Below are 23,726 nucleotides of genomic sequence, written 5' to 3' on the forward strand. Positions count from 1 at the left end.
CTTTTTTGAGACCGAGTTTCACTCTTGTCGCTCAGGCTGGAGTGCAGCGGTGTGATCTCAGCTCACTGCAGCCTCTGCGCAGGTTTAAGTGATTCTCCTGCCTCAGCCTCCTGAGTAGCTAGGATTACAGGCACCCTCCACCATGCCTGGCTAATTATTCCACTTCAATTCACATGGCTCCCAGAAGCACCACACTCCTCACTACCCTCTTCTGACCCTGCCAGTACCAGGATACTTCCCCCAGTAAAGCAACATCGTCGTCGAGGAACGCCACAGCACACCCTGCACCAGAGCCCCCCGAGCACCAGGGCTGCACATGCAGCTTTGACACTGATTTTGATGAGCAGCTCTCTGTCCCTGGGCCACCCCATAGCTCCTGAGCCCTCCTAACCCTGGTCCTTTTCAGTGAGATGCCACCTTTATCACATCACTGGGAGAACACAAGGAGGCACATTTCTAACAGTGCCCCAAGCAGCCATGACTTTGAGCTCTAGTCATGCCAGATTTTCAGGCTTCAGCCCTTCTTTAGACGTCGGCTCCTCCCAGGATGTGCACAAGGACGGTGTCCTGGTCACTTTGGGCCTCTGCATTTGCTGTTTCCTGCTGGCCTCTGCTCCTCTCCCTGGGCCTCTGTGTCCACTGGTGTCCCTCTGGCCACAGCTGCTGCCACTGTGCAGGCCTGGGGTGGGGACAAGAGAGGAGACATCCTTTATGATTCCATCGCAAGCACAGGGCCCCTTAATTTCCAAAGTGGCGCAGAAACCAGCTTGTAAATTTTGATGAGACTATACAAAACTTTCAGGATCAAGTTTCACAACAGAGAGTTGTGATTTGATGTGATGGTCTCCTTGCCTAGCACTGGGCCTCTCTCAGGCCGTGGGCCTCACTTCGCAGTGTGAGAGCCTCATAAGCCGTCTGCAGTCCCTAGAATCCAGACTCCATGCCTGACACCCTGGTCCCAGGCTGATGGTGACAGCAGAAACGGTCACTGTCTTCAACAGAAATCCCGCCCACAGTGTCGGCTCCTCTCCTGACCCCAGTAGGGACGTGGCATCAGAATACAGGAATGTGAGATCAGCCTGCCTCCAAAAGCCAAGAGGGTCTTAGTTTTGAATGCTTGGTGTGCAGGACATTGACTGCACATTCCAGGTTGAATTTCCCACCTGCAGGCTCTGCTTGCCTATTTATAGAAGTGCCTCTAACACAGGGCAAAGATGGCGTTTCCCCAGCCTCAGATTGCCTGTTATCTAAGCTTCGTAAAGGCACACACACAGCTTCTCAAGCACCAGCAACTGTATGCAAGCCCAGGACAGTGCCAATCCAGTGGAAAACACAGGAATGCTTCTTGGTGCCTGGGAAGAACCAAGTCTGCAGAGCAGATGCTCACTCAAACACGAACCACATGTAACATTACCCGACACGACACAGAGCTTCTTAAGAAAGGCAGCTGCGGTTTTTCAACTGCGGCTGCACAGTACAATTAATCACCTGGGGAACACTTGAAATGACTGATGTCCGAGCCACACTCAGAGCGACAGAGTCAGAAGCTCTTAAAGGGTTGGCCCAGGAACTGGCATTTTCAAAAAGCTCCCAGATGATTCTGTTGTGCAGCATGTGCTGGAACCTGTGCTCTGAAATGCCAACATCCAGATGACTGGTGGTGTTAGTCAGAATAAGCTGGGTTCTAGAATAAGCTGGGTTCTCCTACAGTCACTCATAAATCCCAGTATTTTAGTGGCCTATCACAACAAGGGTTCATTTTTCCTTCACACTGCCTGTCCATTAAGGGTCAGCAGGAGACTCCACTCCACACAGGGAGCGAGTCACGGAGGCTTTGTTACTGTGTGACGGACGGCATTCTCTTAAATACTTGCTTCCTTGGTTGCCATGGCAGGGGAAGAGACATCTGGAAGGTCACACCAGGCTCTTCTAGGTTTTAGGCTGAAAGTAGCACCTGTCACTCTCTGCCATAGCCCCGGCCAGAGCTGGTCACATGGCTCTGGCCGGCAATAAGGCAGCTGGCAAGGAGGTGGTGGTGGGGATGAGCAGGAGGCTGATGGATGTTTGATGGATGCCATTGTTTCTGCCACACTGGTGTTTTACACATCTTGTCCCCCAGTATTGACTTGGTGCTTACTTGACTGAAGGGTCATTTCAGGAAATTATGCCAGAAGGAAAAACCAGCCAGCCTTAACATAGTGGTCAGGTTTAAGTCTCCATCACTTGGAGCTGCCTGCCATTTTGGCATTTTTGTAGCTTCCAAAAATCCCACCAGAGTTTGACAGAAAATGTAGATATTTTGCTTTGTTACTTATGTGCACAGTCAGCCATTTCAGGACTTTCCATTGATTTGTCGTTTCTCACATTGACAGTGCACTGTTTTAAGTATTGAAGCTTTGCAGGGCATATTGATACATTATAAGCTCAGTTACCTCTCAGTGCTTTTGTATTTCGGATATTATCTTGTTTTTTTTCTTTACTCATTTTTCATTGTACAAACTTTAAAAATAAGTGTTATAAAATTTGGTTATGATTTCTATTGGGATTAGACATCTTTATAATATAATCTTCTGCCTCAAGGAAATGCCCTATATTTCTAATTATTAAAATCTTCTGGCTGGGCACAGTGGCTCATGCCTGTAATCCCAGCACTTTGGGAGGTTGAGGCAGGTGGATCATTTGAGGCCAGGAGTTTGAGGCTGCAGTGAGCTATGATGGTGCCACTGCACTCTAGCCTGGGTTACAGAGCGAGACCCTGTCTCTAAATAAATAAATAAAGTCTTCCCCTGACTTTCTCAATGAATGTTAGCATTTTTTTCTTATAGGACTTACATATTTCTTACTAAGTTTATTTTCATATATACACATTCACATACCTATATATACATATATTCATATGAAATGTGTATAGCATATTTTCCCATCATATTTTCTAATTATAGATGATATTTAGGAATGTTATTGATATTTATATATTCTTTATAGAACAATCAACTTTATTAAACTTGAATGGATTTTTTTTCCAGGTAGAAAATCATATTGCCTGAAAATGAGTATAGTTTTGTCATCTTCTCTCTTATAATTTTGCATCCGATTTGTTACCAGGCCTTATGGCATTGACCAAGCCCTTCAGAACAATGTTTCACAACAATAGGACCGGCTGTGTTCTTGTCTTAGTCCTTATTTTAATGGTAACAACTGCAGTGTTTCCTGTTGATTGCTATTTTTGGATAGATATTTTAGTATCTCACGAAAGCATTCTTCTAATCTTAGTCCCCACAGTATTTTTTTCATCATTAGTAGTAAATATTAGATTTTATGAAATACTTTTTGCCATCTATTGATATGATGTGTGCTTTTTTTTTGCCTTTTTCTTTTATATCCTTTTTATGGTCCGGTTGATGTAATAGTAAAAATTAAAAAAAAATCATTGTATTTAATCCTTGAGGAATAAAGACAACTCTTGGCTTCACATTCAAGACTTTTTAAAGATGGACTCCAAACTGACTTGTCCAGTCTCCCATCCCATCATCTCTCCAAACTCACATCAGCTGCACCTGATGACAGGCATGACCCAAAACCTGTAAAGTGTTTTGCAGCCCCTCATGCTGTTCACTTTGTCTGAATTGCAGTATCATTATCTTCCAAATGGGGACCCCCTGAACAATCTTCTAGGGTGATGCCCCTGTGAAATCACCACTCTCAAATGTGTCCTGAGCTGGACAATGAATGACAATATATGGTCACCCTCTCCTAGGATAAATTGTCCCTGCTCTCAACCCCCTAAAGGGTTGGATGTCTCCCTTCTGCACAGCATACCTTCCTGGACATATTTTCACCATAGCTTTCTGCTCCCCAGCAGCAGTGAGCTGGCACACAGTAGGCACTCTAAGCCCTAGCCAGGGGTGTTAGTGGAATGAAAGAATGTTACGACCTCATTTTTAAAATAAGAGGAGCTGTCCTTGCAGGGCACCTCCCTCCTCAGCATGTGCCCACAGAAGCTTTCCTGATGGGTAGCCCTAGGCCACGCTGCTAGCTGCTCAGCCAGCACCCACAGAGAAGTGAAGACAGGAAGGGACTCCTGCAGGGAAATTGCTGGGGCCGTTGGGAAATGTATGCTGTGGGCTTGGAGCCTGCGAAATGGGGAGAGAGGAGAGGAGAGGGTCTGGAAGGTGGAAGGAAGGGATGTAGGACAGAAAGAAGAAAAAAGAGGAATGGAGCAAGAGAAAAGAGAAGAAAATGGCAGATGAGGGAAAGAGGGAGAGAAGAAGACAGAAATGGAGGAGGAGGAAAGGAGGCAGCAAGGCTATGCCCTGCTCGTCGCTCTCACACAGCTATTTTGGGGGGTGCTAATTTCCTGGCTATTTGGGGAAACTTTGCAGGCATATTCACTTATCTTGAATGTTTTGGGCTTCACCAGCCTATGACTGCAAAATAAGGTCACATTCCTTTTAACTAGTCAAACGAAAATAGGATAAAAGCTCTACTGCCTGTGATGTTAGACTCCCCTGAAGAGGTCCGATGGCCCTATTTCTGGGGGTTCCTTGGGGTGCAGTTCCCTGTTTGCTCAGAGGGTGGTGCCGGTCAAGGCTTTGCACCCTGGTCCCTCTTCCTGTGCTCGGGGCTGCCTCTGGGGTTGTGACCCTGGGAGGTCCTCTTCTTGGAAGCCTCCACCATTCCAGTGATTCCCCTGCACCCGCCACCCTGAACTCAGGGGAGAGGGACTGTGTTCCCTTTTCACTCCTCAGGCTCTCCTCTCAACTTCCCAAACTGCACAGCTGGCTCCAGGCCCTAATTACTGATGAGGCTTTCCTGAGAGTTGAGTGAAAATGAATAAAAATTAGGAGATATACCTAATGTTAAATGACGAGTTAGTGGGTGCAGCACACCAACATGGCACATGTATACACATGTAACAAACCTGCACATTGTGCACATATACCCTAAAACTTAAAGTGTAATAATAATAAAATTTTAAAAAAATAAAATTAAAAAAATTAAAAAAAAATAGATGAATGGATAAAGAGAAAAAAATAAAATGAATGCATGAATGAAAAAAAAAAAAAAAAGAAGCACGGCCTAGGACGTCACTTACAAAGATGCTAATCTTTAAGGTCCTTCCCTGGGGACTTCCCAGCCTGGCCCCCACCCTGCAGGCATTCAGCAGGGCCCCCCTCTACTCCTCCCTTATTCCCCACAGCCATGTGGCCCCTGAGATGAGGCCATTTTTCCTCCTCTGAGACCCGCCGCTGGAGTCTGTATTCGTCTCCCATGACTGCCGTAACAAATGACCATAAATCTGGTGGCTTAAAACAATAGAAATTTATTCGCCCAGTTCTGGAGGCCAGACGTTCAGGATTGAAGGGTTGGCAGGATTGGTTCCCTCCGGAGGCTCTGAGGGAGAAACTGTCCCTTGTTTCTCTCCTAGCTTGTGGCAGCTGGGGCCATGCTTGGGGCTCCCTTGGCTTGTTGAGGCACCACTCCAACCTCTGCCTCCATCTTCACATGGTCCTTTTCTCTGTGTGTCTTAAATCTCCCTCTCCTTATTCTTGTAAGGACAACAGTTATTGGATTTAGGGCCTACCCTAAATAAAGGATGATCTCATCGCAAGAGCCTTAACTTACTTACATCTGCAAAGACTCTATTTCCAAATAAGGTCACATTCACAGGTACCAAGGGTCAAGACTTGGACATATTTATATTTTCTGAGGCCACAATTCAACTCACCACAGAGTCCTTTTTTCCTATTTCAGGGTGGGCATTTTCTAGGATGAAGGGCTGTTATTCCTATATCAGCTACAAGTACGTGGTCTTGCTCTTTGATCCCCAGAGACAACTAAATTACATTGAACACACGAGTCCGATATCCATTCTTGTTATACACATCCTTTTAAAGGACACTTGGAGTGGCTTGCAGGGTGAACTGGGTGGACAGGGGCGCCCTAACCATCAGAAGGATAGTTCATGTCATAAACAGAAGGGTATGAGACACTAAATCCTCATGGAAGAGGAGCAGCAGGGGTAACAGTGGTCGTTAACTCCCGCATTGTAAAGGCAGCAGACTGGGAGCTGGAAGGGGGCAGCCAGAGATTCCGCGAATGCCTTAGGATGGCTCTAGCTCACCAAAGCTTGAATCCGTTAATGACCAGGTGCTGATAGTAGAATTAGAAGAGGCTGCCATGGTCACACAGTCCAGCTTTTCCTAAACTGTGCCTGCCAAGGACTAAGAATGTTGCAGCAGGCATTAAATAGGAGAGGGGATGGGGGAAGAGTTAATTATGTGATCAAACCAGCAGAGAACACCAGAGTTAAGCAAAGATGAATGCATTTCCATCGTGAAGAACTTCTTGGTATCTTAAGCCAAGGGTTGCAAATGGAAATGTCTACAGGGGCCAGACAAGTAGTGGGGATGACAGGGACCATAGTGACCAGACAGGGACTGTGGGACACTGGGGAGTGTCAGCCCTGTCTTTGAGGGCAGGCATCATTGTACAGGCACTTCTGATCTGATGTTAGGAGGGGTTGAGGCTGCTGAGGTAAGGAGTCCAAGGCAAAATACACAAATGCCAGGGAGGATTAGGCAATAAAATTTCAAAAAGAGCCCATGTGGCAAACTGAGCCAAGAGAAAGTGATCACCATAATGGGCATTGCACACAGCCCTGCTTCCCTCTGCAGCCTGCAGCATTCGGCTGCTTTAGTGCATTTTGCAAACTTGTCGGTGCAAAACATCGATATGTCAGGAAAAGCTGAGTAGGAACCCGAGCTCTGCAACAGAGCAACAACTTTCTTCCACTCACTGGTTCTGCTCACCAGTTAGTATGAGCTATCTTACGTTGCAGCCGAGTAGACTATACTCTTGTCCCAGTTCCCCTGCTGAAGACCTGAGTTTAGATGCTGGCTCAGGCTTCCCCACTTATTAGTTATGTGACCTTGAGCATGATTCTAAACCTTTGTAAATCTCCATTTCTCTGTTTCAGCTATTCATTGGTGTGTAACAACCCATCCCCAAACAGTGTCTTAAATGAATAACAATAATTTATTTTTCTTCATCAGGAGTTAAGTGAGCTCAGCTCGGCGGTTCTCAGGATCTCGCAGGTGGTTGCAGTCACTCAGTGGCTGGGACTGGGCTGGGGTGTTCTCAATGTCATCTTCACCCACATGTCTGGCTCCTGAGCTGGGGAGATTCACACAGCTGGGGCTGGAATAGCTGGGGCTCCTCAAGCATCCCTTTTTCCACATGGTCTCTCCGCCTGGTGGCCTCCAGGCAGACTCCTGACGTGGCGGCCCAGGGTTCCCAGAGCAAGTGTCCCAAGAAAGCCTGGCAGAAGCTCTGTGGCCTTTTTTATCCCAGCCCTGGGAGTCACACAGTATGACTTCCACCTCATTTTATTCATTGAGGCATCCACAGAGGCTCATCCAGACTCAAGGAGAGGGGACATGGACTCCACCTCTTAATGGAGTGAGTGTCAAAGAATCTGTGGGCTCTTTTTTTTTTTAATTTTTAGTTTTTGAGGGTACATAGTAAGTGTATATATTTATGGGTTACATGAGATGTTTTTATAAGGCATGCAATGCGTAATAATGACATCATGGAGAATGGGGTATCCTTCTCCTCAAGCATTGATCCTTTGTGTTACAAACAGTCCAGTTATACTTTTTTAGTGATTTTAAAATGTACCATTAAATTATCGTTGGCTATGGTCACCCTGTTTTGCTATGGAATAGTAGATCTTATTCATTCTTTTAATTTTTTGTACCAATTCACCATCTCCAACTCCCCCCAGCCCCTTCACTACCCTTCCCAGCCTCTGGTAACCATTCTTCTACTGTCTATCTCCATGAGTTCAATTGTTTTGATTTTTAGCTCCCACAAATCAGAGAGAACATGTGATGTGCTTGTCTTCCTGTGCCTGGATTATTTCACTTAACATAGTGACCTCTACTTTCATCCACGGTATTGCAAATGACAGGATCTCATCGTTTTTGATGGCAGAATAGTACTCCATTGTGTGTACCTACCATGTTTTCTTTATCCACTCATCTGTTGATGGACACTTAGGTTGTTTCCAAGTGTACACATGTTTTAAAACCACTACATTATCCAGTAAATGGGGCCAATATTACCATTTCCCATAGAATGGAAGCACCACAGTTTATTTCACCTGATTTTTCTTTTCTTTCTTCTTTCTTTCTTTCTTTCTTTCTTTCTTTCTTTCTTTCTTTCTTTCTTCTTTCTTTCTTTCTTTCTTTCTTTCTTTCTTTCTTTCTTTCTTTCTTTCTTTCTTCCTTTCTCTCTGTCTCTCTCTTTCTTTCTCTCTTTCTCTCTTTCTTTTTTGATAGAGTTTCACTCTTGTTGCCCAGGCTGGAGTGCAATAAAAATATCTTGGCTCACAGCAACCTCCCAACCCCCCCGGGTTCAAGCAATTCTCCTGCCTCAGCCTCCCGACTAGCTGGGATTACAGGCGTGCACTACCATGCCCAGCTAATTTCTTTTGTATTTATTTATTTATTTGCACCACCACACCCAGCTAATTTCTTTTGTATTATTTATTTATTTATTTTTATTTTTATTTTTTAGTAGAGACGGGATTTCTCCATGTTGGTCAGGCTGGTCTCAAACTCCCGACCTCAGGTGATCCGCCTGCCTCAGCCTTCCAAAGTGCTGGGATTACAGCATGAGCCACCACGCCTGGCCTATTTCACCTGATTTCTAAAAGCAGCCATTTTCGTTATTCCAGTGTTTTGGCCATTATACATAATGGTGAAGGGAACATCTCTGTGCATAGTTTTTTCTTTTCTATCTTCTGCTATTTGCATGGGGCTTCCAAGAAGGGAGATTGCAGGATCAAAGGGTAGGAACGTTTTAATCCAGTCTTCAGTTTTCAAGCATCTTTGAAGATATGGTGAGAAGCCTCCCAGGCTGAATCACACTTTCCACACCTTGGCTGTGTGTGTACATGGGCTGTGTGCGTATTTTGGGGCCTGGACTGAATGTGATTTTTGCTTGCTTACTTTTCGCCTTCACAATGCATAATAAAAATGCTTTTGCTTGAACACAGATAGGTTCAAAACCTAAAAACAGCTCCTGTGTGCTGCAGGGGAAGGTTATCTTTTTGTGAAATTCTGATGTGTCCAACTGGGGACAGGACAAAGCAGAGGGGACATGGAGGGACCCTGATCTGTAGGCAGTTAGTGGAGTTACAGGCCCACACTCACTCTGAGTAATGTTCCTCAGCCTTTTAGAAATATAAGCCCACATTTCCTCTAAAGCTTTCTTCCTTGATCTTCTGGATGAGCCCAGAAGTTGCATTATTTTGTGTAGTGTGCTCTATGCAAGCATTTGAATAAGATCTTCTCAAGCCATATCTTTTTCTTCCCTCCAGGGCTCCTCAACTGGAGGTTGGGCTGCTCTCTGCTCATAAGCCCTGTGTCTCCTTGACGAAGACTAAGAAGAGATCTGGAGCTATGACTACCATTTCAATGATTATTATTAGGGCAAACCTCCTCTGGGGAGGGATCTAGATAATTGCTTCTAGAATTGGCTTCTCTTTACTGTCTATGGCTTTGAAGTCAAATGACACATGCTAGGTACTTTCTATTTTAAGTTTTTGCTGGGTTTATGGGAGAGAGTTGGAATGTTAGAACTTTGTTTTTGTTTGTTTGTTTGTTTGTTTAAAGTAAATTTAGCCAGTAACCTTAGGAGGGACTTGTCACTTGGTTAAATCCTTTCACAGCAACATGGCAGAGAGAGCCCAGCCCTGAACTTGAGAGTCACAAGACTAGCGTCTTAGCTCCAGCTCTGTCATTAACCTGGTGGGTGACTTTGGACAAATCACTTCCTTCATATCTTCAGATGCCCCACTTGAGAAGTATGGACTTGAACTTGGCCAACTCCTACAGTCATCACAAGTCTAAAATTTGATAATTTGTGAAAGCCAGCTCTGAGTGTCTTTACTCCGAGAATCCTTTTAGAATTCCTTCCATCTTCCTCTGGCCAGCTCCAGATAAACACAAGGGTTAGGGCCTGGAGGAGAAGCACGTACTATATTCTTGGCAAAAGGGGTTGTCTTGTCTGTTATAACAAAATACTATAAACTGGGTGGTTTATAAACAACAGAAGTTTATTTTTCAGAGTTTTGGAGGCTGGGAAGCCCAAGATCAAGATGCAAGCAGATTTGCTGTCTGGTGAGAGCCCACTTCCTCACAGACAGTGCCTTCTTGCTGCATCCTCCCATGGTAGAAGGGACAAAATAGCTTTCTGGGATCTTTTTTTATAAGGACACGAATCCCAATCATGTGGACTTTGCCTTCACGACCTAGTCACCTCCTAAAGGTCCTACCCATCTCCTAATACCATCATCTTGGAAGTTAGAATTTCAACATATGAAATGGAGGCAGGCAGGAGCACAAACATTCAGACCATAGGAGGAATTTAAAATGACAGAGAGATTGTCTTAAGCTGGGATCTCCCAGAAGCAGATCTGTAGACAAGGACTTGAAGTGGTTTATTCAGGAGATTGAGGTGGGGAGTGAGATGGGGCAGAGAAGGAGGCTAACACAGAGAGTGCTGGTGAGCAGGCCATCACTGTGGGCAGCTGGGCTGCAATCCTGCTGAAGGCTTCTGGAAAAACACCTCAGAGTTGTCCACCTGAGGATGAGATCGCTGGCGTATCTATCCCCCAAGGGGTGCTAACCACCCCCCGGCCCCGCCTTGCACAAGCCAAGGAAAAGCTCTTGGGTGGAGCATTGCTGATGTTTGCAGTGGGCATGCACAGCATGTGCAGAGGATATGGGTGGGGCTTTGACAACGTCTGCTACTGCTAATGCCATGTGGCACGTTGTTCCGATTTTCCTGGTTGCTCACTGTATTAAAGTGCATAAGAAATATACTTTGCATGAGATTCTGCATGGGTTTAACAAGTTTAGGAGTCTTTTGATGTCCCATTTTGTCAGGTAAACAGAGACTGTATTGAATTAGAAGGAAATATCTCATTCAGCAAGAGGCTGGAGACATGGGAAGGATATATAAAGGTCTATGTTGAAATCATATGACATTGAATAAACTTACAGAGTTTGTGGTGAGAACAATGATGGAAATCCTATAAGGAAGGGGTTCAGGTGTGGAAATCAGGGCATGCATGGAACTTAGATGCCAGGAGCATCATGTAGACATTGTGTAAATGAGGACGGCCTGATGCTTTTCCCACTGACATGCTGCTAGCCAGAGTAAATTAGCCAAGGATCCATTGGTTCACCTTTTCTCCTCCATTCTGCCTGCACCGTTGTTGTGGGGAAGGAAATCTTAAAAGGGTGCAAGGAAGAGGAACCAACACCACCCACTTTGATTAGTGTTTGTGAGCATCTACTATGGCAGACAGGACACTCAACATTCGGGGTACTCAGAGTGAGGCACTAGTCCCAGCTTCTCAGGAGGCTGAGGCGGGAGGATCGCTTGAGCCCAGGAGTTCAAGGCTGCAGTGAACTGTGATCACATTACTGCACTCCAGCCTGGGCAACACAGCAAGATCCTGTTTTGTTTTTTTGTTTAAAGTGGGACAGCCCTGTCCTTTAAGGGAAGACAGAGTGAAATATAATTACAGTGAGAGGCAGAGGAATAAGGATCAGGAGAGAGGTATGAATGCACTGCTAGGCAGAACAGAGTAGAGGGCCTTCTTTCTGACTGTCAAGATCCAGGCAGGTGTCTTAGAGGGCATGGCAACTGAGCAGTGCTTTGAATTTGAATGGAGCAGGCACCTTTATATGAATAGAACTGGAATAGTCAAAGGTATGGAGAAGGGAAAGTTGAGGGTGTATCTGGGTTTCACTGGATGGTCTGATGTGACTGAGGCCTCAGCTTCATGCAAGGATATCATGGACAACATATGGAAAAAGGAGGAGGGGCCAGGCTGTATAGAGCCCTGGGTTGGAAAGAGGAGACAGGAGGGGGCTGTGGGGGCAATGGGAGCCGCTGAGGTGTCCAGAGCAAGGCATGGAGGGGTGGGCCTTTAAAGAACAAGGCTATGAGAGTTACCCATGACTCAGAAGCACCCAGTGTAGAAGCAGAGTGTCTGGTATGGTGGAAGTGAGGTGGTTTCTTGTGCATGGAGGTTTCTGAAAAGAAATCTCTACCTTTGGTTTTCTTTCTTCTGGAGAATAAGGCACAGACCTGGGACTTGAACATTGGTCTTCTAACCCCTCAGTAACCACCTGCCTCCATCTTATGGGGTCTATTTTTCCTGGTGGGAGAGTCTACCTTTCTGGATTGCTTCTGTCTAATTTCCATACCCACTTCCATCTCACAAGCCAGCCCACTCTGGGTTTGCAGAGTGGGCCGGCTAAGGATTAATCTGAGAATTGAAATCCCAAGAACTGTGGACTGTCTGAGACAGAGGACAGAATCAGGTTTCTCCAGGATGACTGGCTCCTGTGGGGAGACCTACTTGCTGGCACGCTTTGGAAGAAAAGGATAGGAAACTGGATTTTGAGGGTTTTTTTTTTTTAAATTTAAGTGTATTTATTGGCACCAGGGCCAGTATTAACAAAAACTTAAATTCCCAAGCAGCCTCCTTCACTTCTTGACCCAGCAAGGAAATGATTTCCCTGCTTATTCACTCACTTACCAAATATTTGTTGAGCATCTACTATCTGCAGTCTTTGCTCTAGGCACTTTGAAAGCAGGAATGAACAGGCGGACAAGTTTCCCGCCCTCCCAGAGTTTGTGTTCTAGTGGAAGACACAGAGAATAAACAAAGGACAAGGAGGTGCAGGAGATGCTGTCTCACATCCTTCATCCTTCCAGGCTCATGGCTTCTAGGAGAGGAAACCTTTTCCTGTGCCTGGCCTTCAAGACCCTTCCAAATCGGTGCCCATCCACCTCTCCAGCCACTTCTGCCCAGCCTCCACTTCAAATGTAAGTATAAAGTAGAACAAGAGATCAGAGCCAGAGATGATAACTAGGTCCAGGTGGGGGCATAGTTATCTTCCCAAGCTCTGATCTCTTCTTCCACTTTATGCTTTACAACCCAGATTTTCTGGAACCATCCCAATATAAATTTTTTTTTCTTCTCTTATATACTTAAGCCTCAAGTTAGGCAAAAATCATAACCAGATCCCGAGTTTGTCTTAGAAATTATGTTCACATTTCCGTGCCTCTACTGTTTGTCCTATCACTTTTAGTGGGGACTGTGTAGTGAATGTGCCCACCTCCCTTGAGCTCGAGAGCTTTGGTCCAGCTCTGTGTCTGCAGGGACATAGCTCAGAGCTCAGCACATGCTGGTACTCAGAAAGTGCTTTCTAGACAAGTGTCAGACTGGCATGTGGGCTTCATGTGGAGGCAGATCTGCCCACGACCCTTGGAACCAAGCAATATCCAGAGAGGGGAGTGGCGGTTCTTGAGCTGTTGCCTCCAGCTCTGCAGTGAAGACAGTAGGGAAGGCTGATAGCTGAGCTGGAACCAACTTCAAAGAAATGTGCCTTCCCTGGCTTCCAATGTGGGTCTGTGGCATCTCTGCAGGCCAGGCCTGGTAGATGTTTATTATACTTAAGAATATATTAAATGCAGGCTCTGAGCTCCGTTCCTGGCATAGCTCGCCTCTTGCCACTGGCTCTCTGATGACTGAACTGTGCAATCCTGCAGGTGGATGAGCAGAGCCTGGGGCACGTTTCAGCTCAAAAGGGCCAAATCAAACACTGAGTGTCTCAACTGAGCACATTCCTGAGCTCATTAAACTGGGCGAAGTGAGCCCAGCCGGATGGAGACCAGGGAGGAGACAGACGGTCATAGCCCCTGAACACAGCTGGGGCCAGGCAGCAGCGTCTACTCTGGAAAGGGGCTCAGCACTCGGTCCTCTTCCCTCCCTCTCCCTGTCCTGAGTCAGTCCTTTCCACAGCCCGTTATATCCCCCAACCATGGGGAAGCAGGACTGCACCAGCTTTGGGGGACGGGGATTTGGAGGGTTGAGGTCACCCTCAGCGCTGCCCAGAAGGAACTTACCAGCGGGCAGGCAGACAGGCTGTGGTGGAACCAGTCAGTCGGCAGGAAAGGATTATGTGAGATGCAAAGCTAATGTGACAGACCACCCAGCCGGAGAACTGGAAGGGTGGGATTTCATAACCCACGCAGAGTCAATCAAGGCCAAAGGAGTTAGGGAAAGCACAGGGGATGATCCTCATGGTAACTCTTTGGACGAGGTGCCCATGAAAGATGGACAGGGTGTGGCTTAGCAATTATTTTGCTTCACCTTCAAGCCTGCCTCCTTTGACTGTCCTTTGGTTTTGGAGCTAATGAATAGTAAATTATTTTAAAAGGCATGCATGACTTGGAATCTTAGTGAGAGATGTTGAATGTTATGCTCATTCATTTGCTTGTGCATTTAGAGAGAGAGAGAGAGAAGATAATGCAAGAGAAATCAGATGGGTTCTAATTCAGATGAGCTGTAAAGCCTTGGACAAAGTTGCTGAACATCTCTGAATCTGTTTTCTATTCTGTAAAAAGAAGAGGATGGTGACACGCTGAGTAGAACTGGTCCCTAAAAAAAATATTGTGCTGGATGTGGGAAAATTCAGGTCAAATAATGTAACATATAAAGGTTTATTTTAGAGGGTTTTTAAGCTTCAATGATATATACGTGAGTCGTGTTAGAACATCCTTTAGTAAAAATCCATGAAGACATAACAAAAGGAGGAGAGGGACACTGGAGATTGTCACAGCTCTGGGACCACAGAGTGAGTGAGCTAAGGGAAAATCTGGTGCTTGACCACAGAGGGCAGAGGGTCCAGCTAGGATGAAACTATGTGGGCAGCCCCTCCAGACTGCCCTGGCCATGGGCCCCCCCCCTTGTGTTGATGACATTTTAGAAACAAAAGCCAGGTGCCCATGAATAGCCTGAATTAAGGTGGATCAGCACATTGTCTTATGACCCAGCCATGAAAGAGGGGTTGGAGTGAGTTTTGGAGGGAATGTTGGGGACAAAGTAAATGGGGTAAACGCTTAGGTGGTCAATCAGAGGGCTAGCCTGAGCTTGCAGCCCGTGGGTGTACTGGGTGTGGCACATGCTGTGCAAATGCCCCAAAGGTCGCCATTTGATTGACTGCCATCTGGATGATATGTTGGAATGCGGAATGATGGAGCTCATTCTCTTGGAGAAGCGTTACGAGTTGAAATCCTTCCTTTTGCTTTGATTGTTTCCATGACACCTGCTGCTCCTAAGAAGGGTCAAGACCACCCCAAATACACACTGCTCAGGGTTCCTGAGAGTATTAAATGAAATACTATAGAGAGACGAGCTGAGCCCAGCATGGGGCATGAAGATGCTACTCAAATAGAAGTATCATTACTTGCATTCTTTCATTATTTCCAGAATATATTGAATTTAAAATTAAATTAAAGATCACTGTCCCCATTGCCACAGCATTAATTCCAACTCTTACCACCTCCTACCTGCCTTGAGCAGCAGTTCCTCCACTGCCCATCTTTTTCCAAACCTTCCCGTGTCTTAGCAGCTCAAAATAGATGTGATTTTTCTCAGAACCCCAGAGCTTCCTCTTGCCTGCCAGGTAAGACCCAAATTAACCTGATGTCCATGGTGTGGTGCTTGGCCCTGACCTTATGTCTCCAGCCTCATTTCACAGCGTCACTCACCCTGGGCTGTTTGCTGCTCCCTGGTCAGGCCTCTTTCCCAGCTCCACACCTTTGCATAAGCTCCTCCCTCTGCCTTAGGGTTCCTTCCCTCCTCTCCACTCCAGGGCATGTGGGTCAGTATCAGCCAGGAGCTGCTCATTTCCTTGAGTGTGGAGACTGAATTCAGCCCTCTCCCCTCAATGTCTACAGCAGTCCCTGGCAATAAATGGTCTCTTCAATGCCTGTTGACTGAATTGAATCAAGTTTTTAAAAGCCCCATGCAAACGAATTCAATGGAATCGTTATAAGAAATATACAGATTAAGCAACTGACCATATTTAAAAACCTAAATATGAACATCATTTGGGCTAGGGAAGCAAGACGACAGGAAAGCAGCCTTTGAAATTGAGCTCCTTCTGCCTGCCAAAGCATTTGCTTTTAGATTGGACGTGGAGGACAGACACTCTGTAGGTTTGAACATCTCAGAGTACTTTTCCCACTTCCAAGCTCCTGTATGTATTTACAGAGAGTGAGGCCCATGTTGTAAAGATGAGGACTATAGGAGCCCTGAGATAGACAGTACAGTTGCTTTCATGGAAGAAGATATGAACCACTGCATTTTCTCTCTGGCGTAATTTGGGCCCCTGGGCCTGGCAGTCCAGCAGTTAGCCAGGCACCAGTTTCTCCTTGTCCCACTGTTCAGAGGCCTCCCATGTCCTCCTGAAAACACCTGACTTTTTGATCTGTATTATAAACGTGCTCTGGTCTAGGGTCAGAGACAGAGAGCTGCCTCCTTGGGACCTTGGCTGAGTTTCTACCAGGGCTCTGATTTCCCTTCAGTAAAACAAGGGGGCTGGGCTAAATGTACTGTCACTGTACAGCTCCAGCTTCCCCAAGAGGTCATCCTTAGGACTCTGAGGAGTTCAGACCACAGACTACAGACCAGGGTCTTCCCTTCTCCCACACAGCTGGACTCTTTGAACATCAAAGCACTCACTTCCTCATGATCTGCGATTGGCTTGACCGCTCCATGGGCCAGAGTTCCTGATTCCATTTGTCCTCCTGGGCCCTGGACACTTGGTCCCTTGACACTCCACTTTCAAGAAACAGAGGGCAGGAGCTGCATAAGCTCTTGGTCCTGATTGAGGAGCTGATTTCCAAAGTAATTAGTGCCTACCCTGTGAGTAATCAGTGCCTTCTGTACAGGATGCAGATGGAGTTGGAGCTCACTCACAAGACTTGACTGACCTGACCCTCGGGGATCCATCCACGTGGCCCACCCAAGTAATGCACCTTTTAGAATATTTGCTGAAATAACTGCCACCTGGTGGCATCTTCTGGGTCAATGTCACTGTCCATGGTGGTATTTTCTTGTTAATGATATCAGCTACACATCTTTTAAATTCTCCATGCTAAGGGCTTTTTATAGCTCATCTAATTGAACTTTTACCACAACCCTGTAAATTTGGGTGATCACAGCCATTTTGCAGATCTGGAAACGGATCTGAGAGGCTGAGTGATTCTCTGTCAATGAACCAGCAAATGACAAATTCAGGATTTAAATCCAGACCAGTTTTACTATAAAGACCAAGCCCTTAACCTTATATTGAATATTTTAATCCTCAAAACAACCCTTTGAGGTAGCTTTTATAACCCACATTTTGCCGAATAAATCACTGAGATTTGGAGAGTTTATAAGACCTGCTGAAGCTATGTAACCAGGAGGTGGCTGACCTGGGATTTAAACCTAGGGGTGAGCATAAGCTCTTTCCATCCGTTTTCTCGCTTACTTCCCACAGCAATCCTGGGAGTTAAGGAGGTACTATCTCTGTTTAGTATATCAGGAAATCAAGGCTCAGAGAGATTCAGTAATTTTCTCAGGGTTACACAACCAGGAAGTGGCAAGCAGATGGGATCCAAAGTTGGTGGTCGTCCCACAGTGTAATACTATACAGAAATCCATTTCTGAAATCTGGACGGGTTTTCTTTGGTTTCATTCCGATACACAGAATCATGTTAAGACCTCCACATTTGAAGCCATGTCAATAGTTTTTGGTTTTCAAAGACTCTGTATGAATCAGCGTGGAAGGTCAAACAGTTAAGACGGAAGAATCTGACATGATGGGGCAGAGAGCTTGGATACATGAGAACGCGCTTACCTTTGGAACCAAACTCCACCCTGGCCTAATCCCATCAAGGCCACGCAGCACAGTGGACACATCCAGCTCGCAGATTTGTGGCTGATGGGTCCTGGCCTGGGGCCAGCCTCTCTGGAGGACCAATCCTGGTTGGAGGAGGAGACTTGCTGTAGGGACTTTATGAATGGCATGTGGGTGTGGGCTTAGCCCAGAGCCCTGGGGAGGAGCAGGACCTGCTGGGCTGGGGCCTCAGACCTGCAAGAGCCACTGGGTAAAGACTTCACTAACTTCGGCTTATTTATTAATTTTAAAATTTAAATTAATTTCTATTTTTAATTGATTTTTTTTAATGCAAAGAACCTATTACTTTCCATAGCTGTCCAGAGCTGCATGTCTGAATTTCTGTGTGCAGAAACATAAGTGACTCTCCAGGTGTCAGAGGGAGAGACTGGGGCGAGAGGCCAGAGCAAAGTAGAAGGGCACAGAGGGGCTTTGAATTTGAGGCAGAGGAGGAACTGCAGAGAGGGGGCGGGGAGGGCTCGCCGGGAAATCAAACGTCCATTTACATCTTGTCCTGCAAAGCTTCATCAAAACTTCTTTGCCGGCCAGTCACGTCCCCTTATCACTTTTCCAGCCCAGCTTTGTGACTGTAAGTGTTGGACGGAGAACTGATAAGGGTAGGTGATTGACACTCACAGCCTCCGGAACCCCCGCGCCGCCTGCACTTGCGTGATGGGGAAAACCTGGCGTTCCCGCTCTGGGTGCCCGAGGACAGCAGGGGATTCCAGGAGGAGACCTTGGGCATAGGGGGCCCAGGTATGCGCCCCCTGCCTGAGGATGCTGGGGTAGCCTTTGTGTTTTGTCAGTGAGATCTCCACTTTGCTTATTCAAAATGTGCTCTCTGCGACTGGGTTTAGGGTCTCCCCTTGAGAAAAGCGGTTGGGTGGTTGGTGAGGGAAGGGGGCTTATTCCACAGACTTCTTTATAAGGTGAATAAAGGGGTATAGGACTTTTTGGAATTTTAGGTACTCTTGCTTAAAAAAAAAAAAAGGGAGAGCAGGAATTTCCGTCTGATTTGAGGGAAAGTCCCTTTCCAGACATTTTCTTCAGCTGACAGCTACTCACCAAATGCTTTTGTCTTTTTCGGTTTATAGGAACCATGTGCTGAGACAGAAGGTTTCATGACTCTAACTAAACTTATATTCTATTACATTAAAGATGGTTATTTATTACGTTGTTGATTCAGAATGATCTTTTATAACTCATAATTACTTATACCAAATCAAACTCAATAAATGTCTTAATTGGCACATTGCAGTAACGGACTGACACATAAGCAAGTCTATACACCTGTGTGTAAAGATGTAAAACCACAGATAAAAATTCCTGTAACTACAAATGCTTCTATTTCCTGGAATGTGAATACAGATTAACATGCAATGGATTGCATCTCAGCTGAACAGGTACTTTTTTCTTTTCTTTTCTGCAATTAAATATTATGATTTTACTTAAAGAGTAAATACAGTTTTAAAGTTAAATGAAGGTGGTAGATGAACACAGTGGTTCTCAGCCTTAGCTGCTTGTTGGAGTCACCTGGGAGTTTTGAAGGGTCCTGATGCATGGCAAATTACATCAGAATCTTCAGGATGTGGCTGGGCAAGAGTAGGTTTGAGAACCGTGCAAAAATAATGTGAATTAAGGCATTTAGTGTTCACATGGGGGCCTTCTCACTTTAATGCAGGAGTATATAAGCTTGGCTATCTGATACTGATGCCTGGATCTCATTCCCAGAGATTCTGATTTAATTGGTCCAGGGTGTGGCCTGGGCACTGTAGCTGTGCCAGGTGATTGCAAGATACAGTTGAGGCTTTGAATATACAGCTGTAATGCCCCCTGACAACTGTGAAAGTCCCAGCACTTAGATTGGCTGGGCTCTCAACTTCTGGTATGATCCTCCACATGTCTTTAACTTTTACGATGCCTCAGTTTCCTTTAAAGCAAACTGGAACCTGAGATGATGGGTGGAATGAATGTCCCCTCAGAGCCTTTCCTGCTCTTCAAGGTGACTGAGGCCCAAGAGTGCTTTCATGAGATTGCAGTTACTGATGAGACTCAGCACTTGTGTGTCTTGGCTCTGGGTTCAAGAGTGTGGAGAGCGGCTCAGGTGGCCATGGGATGGATAGGCAGAGGCGGCTGGGAGGAGCGGAGAGTCCGGCCCAGAGACTCAGCCACCTCCTTCAGACAGAAAGGGGCCAGTTAGGGGCTGGCTGGACAGTGAAGGTGTTGATAAAAAGGGGCTGAGTGTTCCCCACCCTCTGGTGGACATATGATGTTGGATATCTCAGGTAGTCACCTGGTGAGACACTGTTGGGCTCAGAACTATAATAAAAACAGAATACATGTCTTTGCAGTTGATTCTCCAAAGGTTTTATTTTGTTTTTATAGTTCCTCATAACTCTGTCTTTATGCGGCATAAGTGTGTTTCCAATTCTTTTTTGGACTGGTCCAAAAACATACATGTGGAAAGATTTAAAAAATCCTGCATCATCCTTTGGATTATAAGAATATTAATAATCAAAAGCATAGCTCTCATTTCTTCAGGGCTTACTAGGAGTGTCTCTGTGCAAAACACTTTACTTTTTAATTTTAATTAGCTCATTTAATTTTTACACCAACAGTCTGAGCTAGGTACTACTATGATTACTACTATTATCATCCTCATTTAATAGTTGAGAATACTGGGTTCCACAGAGGTTAAGTGACATGCACCAGGTTACACAGTAGAGGGCAGAGTCTGGATTTGAATCCAGGACTGTCAGACCCAAAGGCAAAGTGCTAAACCACCACAGTTTACTACCCAGAGCACACCGTGGGTACATGCTGGAGTAGAGCCTCATTTTATAGATAGAGTGCCAGGCCCAGAGACCAGATGGATCTTTTCACCTGCAAAACAACAGCTGACCTCCCAAATGGTCCTGGGTGACAGGTCTTAGGGCTACACACATTTTGCAGATGAGGAAACTGCCATCCAGAAGGACACATGGCTGGTAAGTGGAAGGGCTTGGCCAAGCCCACCTTTTGGGGGTATAACACGTGCTCCAACCACCACTCACACTACAGGGGTTGGCAGAGCCTGATGGACTTGGTTGACTGTCTCTTCATCTCTGGATCCCAAGCCCCAGGCATGATGCCTGGCACATGGTGGGCTTGCAATCAATATTTGCTGAATAAGAACTCCAAAGACCAGACGTGCACAGACACATAGCCCCGCCCTCCACCAGATGCAGCCTTTTAGAGATTCAAGCTTGTGAATTACCTCCCCAACATGAGGAGCAATTGGTATTTTATGCAAATGTCTGACACCTGAATCTACTCCTCTGACTGCATTCACCTTCTTTACCCAGACTGTAAGTCAGCGATAACACTGTCTCATAGTAAGGGTCCTCAGACACTCACAGGCACCTCAGCCTTAAGGCAGTGAGCTCTGGATGGGGATTCAGAGACCCAGTTCAAACCTAGGTTTCAACATGAGTGATCTGGTGCTAGGCCCAGCCTCAGTTTCCCCACTTACGTGGTAGAGATGTAGATGCCCTTTCTGTCACTACGCAGCTCCTCCCCTGGCCTGGGTGCCTCCTCCCAGGGCTCATCACACAGGGTCAAGGAGAGGGGAGGCCTCGCATGATCCACTGTCTACAGAGACCCAGCCGGGCATGCAGGTGCCCCCCTTCCCCTCTGTGCTCCAGGCTACTGCCTGATTGCCCATGAAAAGAAGGCTTACCTCTGGCTGGAAACGCCTGAGGCAGCGGATTTTGGTGTGAGTAAGCAATTCCAGGGGCATTAGGGGGAATGCAGGCTCGTCTGGAGCGCATAAAGCTGCACTGGGTTCGATTCAAAAGGAGGAGGAAGCTTGGGCTTTCTCAGGGGCCAGGCATGCAGCCCCAATATTAAATCCCTGCGAAAGAATGTCTTCATCTTTATGGATAGAGGAAGAGTCAGATGCTTACAAAAGGAGCAAGGGACAGCAAAGCCAGGTCCAGGAAATCCCTTTCATCCTGCAGAGAGATCCAAACAGCCCAGATCTGGGCCCTCCACCCCACGGCAACCTCTAGGTGAACTTGCTTGATTTGAATTTGGGTGCAGGATCCCTTTTCATTTCTGTAATAATTGATATTCATGGCTAGGAGAGAACATAATAGAAAGCAACATCTGTTACTTCCCCATTCACAGACTGTTTGCACATATTTTGCTTTATTCAGTCTTTAACCACTTTACAGATGAGGAAACCAAGGCTCACAGAGGTATCTGTCCCTGGCTCAGATCACAATCACACTGCTAGCAAAAGCCACCGCCAGACCTCTGGTCAAATAACGCCCATGCTAGGAAGCCCTCCTTGCCCTCGCAACCATGGCCACCTCTGCACTGCATACTACATCTGCTGCCACACTTACCTCCCTGCAGTGTAATTCACGTTTATTTGTCTGCCATGAGTAGGAGGATGTGAGCTTCTGGAGGGCAGGGGCTCCAATTTACTCATCTCCATAGACTTAGCTCTCAGCATAATGTAGGGCCCAGAGCAGGTTAACAGTAAACATCACAGAAAAAATGAATGGATCCTGTGCTCTTTCCACGGCCCCACAAGACCAGGAATTCTGATGACCAGACAGATAATCACAATGACAATCACAACAACCACAGCCAACATTTGCATCTTGCTTATCAGCACTTTGGCACCAGGGGCATATTTTGCAACAACCAAAGGTGCCGACTTTTATTTCCACTAAGTGGACCAGAAGACTGAAGCTCACATAAGCTACAAGCCTTGCTCAAGCCTCTTTTTCAAGGTCCACAAGGTGGAGAAAAACCTCAAACCCAACCCGTCTAACTCCAAATCCCAAATGCTCACATAACATTCATAAAGCATTCCTAATCAATAAAACACATACTCATATAGCTCATTATGTGCCAGACAGTGTTCCAAACTGAGTTGCAAACATTAACCTGTCTAATCTTTAAAATGACACAATGAAGAATGTACAACTAGCATCATCCCCGTGTCACTTCCTTGGAAACTGAGGCAGGCAGACATTCAGGAGTATGACTTAGGCTGAATACTGCTAAGTGCCAGAGCTGGGATTTTTCAGGCAGTGTATGCTGTTACCACTCGGCTACACTGCTCTCCTTAAAAGTGACTGTTCCGTGCCAGGCAGTGGGACTCACTTCAATTAATCCTCATGATGGTCTCATATTAGCATCTCTAAGTGACAGTCACATAGGTGGTGAGTAGTAGAGTGGAATTTAAACCCAAGTCTGTATGATTCCAGAGTACAGAATCTTTCCTTCCTACGGCCTTGAGCATACTTCTTGCTTGTTTCGCAGTAGTCCCGGGCTGTGTCCACCACTCCAGATCACACCCCTTGGCTGAGGCTCAGATGTGCTAGGGTGAAGATGGGGTGGGGCCTGAGGTCTTTGTGGAGCTGAAGTTTCTGAATTAGGAGAGTTAAGGCAGAGCCCTAATTCAGGGGCACAGTGGGAGTGGTGGGAGGCTGGGTTATCACTGAACCCTGCAGTCCAGGCTCTGAGGCTCTTTTGCCAGGAGGATGAAGTTGCCTCAATTTGAATACTGAAGGAGCTTTGGCGGGGTCCCAGTTCCCTGGGTCTGGTACCTCCAGAAGCAGGGATGGCTTCATGGCCTCATGTATAGGAAGGCCCTGGGCTTGGCTAAACTCTCTGCTGTTACCATCTTGAAACATGTAATAATTTTTAACAAGGGGACCTGCATTTTCATTTTGCACCAATTATGTAGCCTATCCTCCCTCTCAGGGAGGCCTCTTCACTGGATCTTTCATCTGAATCAGCTTCGTGGTTTCCTTATGCTAACCACATATTTGTTTTGTATCCAGGCTGGCTGTATTTGCAGAGGCTGAGCCCAGAGGATGGCCATGGAGAATGCCTGGGCACTAGGAATAG

The 23,726-nt window shown here is 46.2% G+C and overlaps 1 long non-coding RNA gene and 1 other non-coding gene across 2 annotated transcripts in view, besides 2 other annotated features; one reads left to right on the top strand and one right to left on the bottom strand.

Moving 5' to 3' along the window:
- Positions 1-283: 283 nt before the first annotated feature.
- The window catches only part of ANKRD34C-AS1 (ANKRD34C antisense RNA 1), a 92,239-nt gene continuing 68,796 nt past the window's right edge, over positions 284-23,726 (bottom strand). Inside the window, exon 2 of the long non-coding RNA NR_038997.1 lies at positions 284-679. This is a non-coding gene — a long non-coding RNA (ANKRD34C antisense RNA 1). The remainder of the gene's footprint in view (positions 680-23,726) is intronic.
- Positions 5,768-6,301: an enhancer, noted in NCBI's record as "OCT4-NANOG hESC enhancer chr15:79489533-79490066 (GRCh37/hg19 assembly coordinates)". NCBI's record gives its function as "activates a minimal SCP1, AML or CMV promoter by ChIP-STARR-seq in primed H9 embryonic stem cells {active_cell/tissue: H9 hESC(primed)}" and the evidence as "EXISTENCE:reporter gene assay evidence [ECO:0000049][PMID:30033119]".
- Positions 13,332-13,895: an enhancer, noted in NCBI's record as "H3K4me1 hESC enhancer chr15:79497097-79497660 (GRCh37/hg19 assembly coordinates)". NCBI's record gives its function as "activates a minimal SCP1, AML or CMV promoter by ChIP-STARR-seq in naive H9 embryonic stem cells {active_cell/tissue: H9 hESC(naive)}" and the evidence as "EXISTENCE:reporter gene assay evidence [ECO:0000049][PMID:30033119]".
- On the top strand, positions 18,365-18,448 carry MIR184 (microRNA 184). The gene has a single exon (NR_029705.1). It is a non-coding gene; the product is annotated as a microRNA 184 (primary transcript).

Source organism: Homo sapiens, chromosome 15, assembly GCF_000001405.40.
Source record: "Homo sapiens chromosome 15, GRCh38.p14 Primary Assembly".
Classification (NCBI taxonomy): domain Eukaryota; kingdom Metazoa; phylum Chordata; class Mammalia; order Primates; family Hominidae; genus Homo; species Homo sapiens.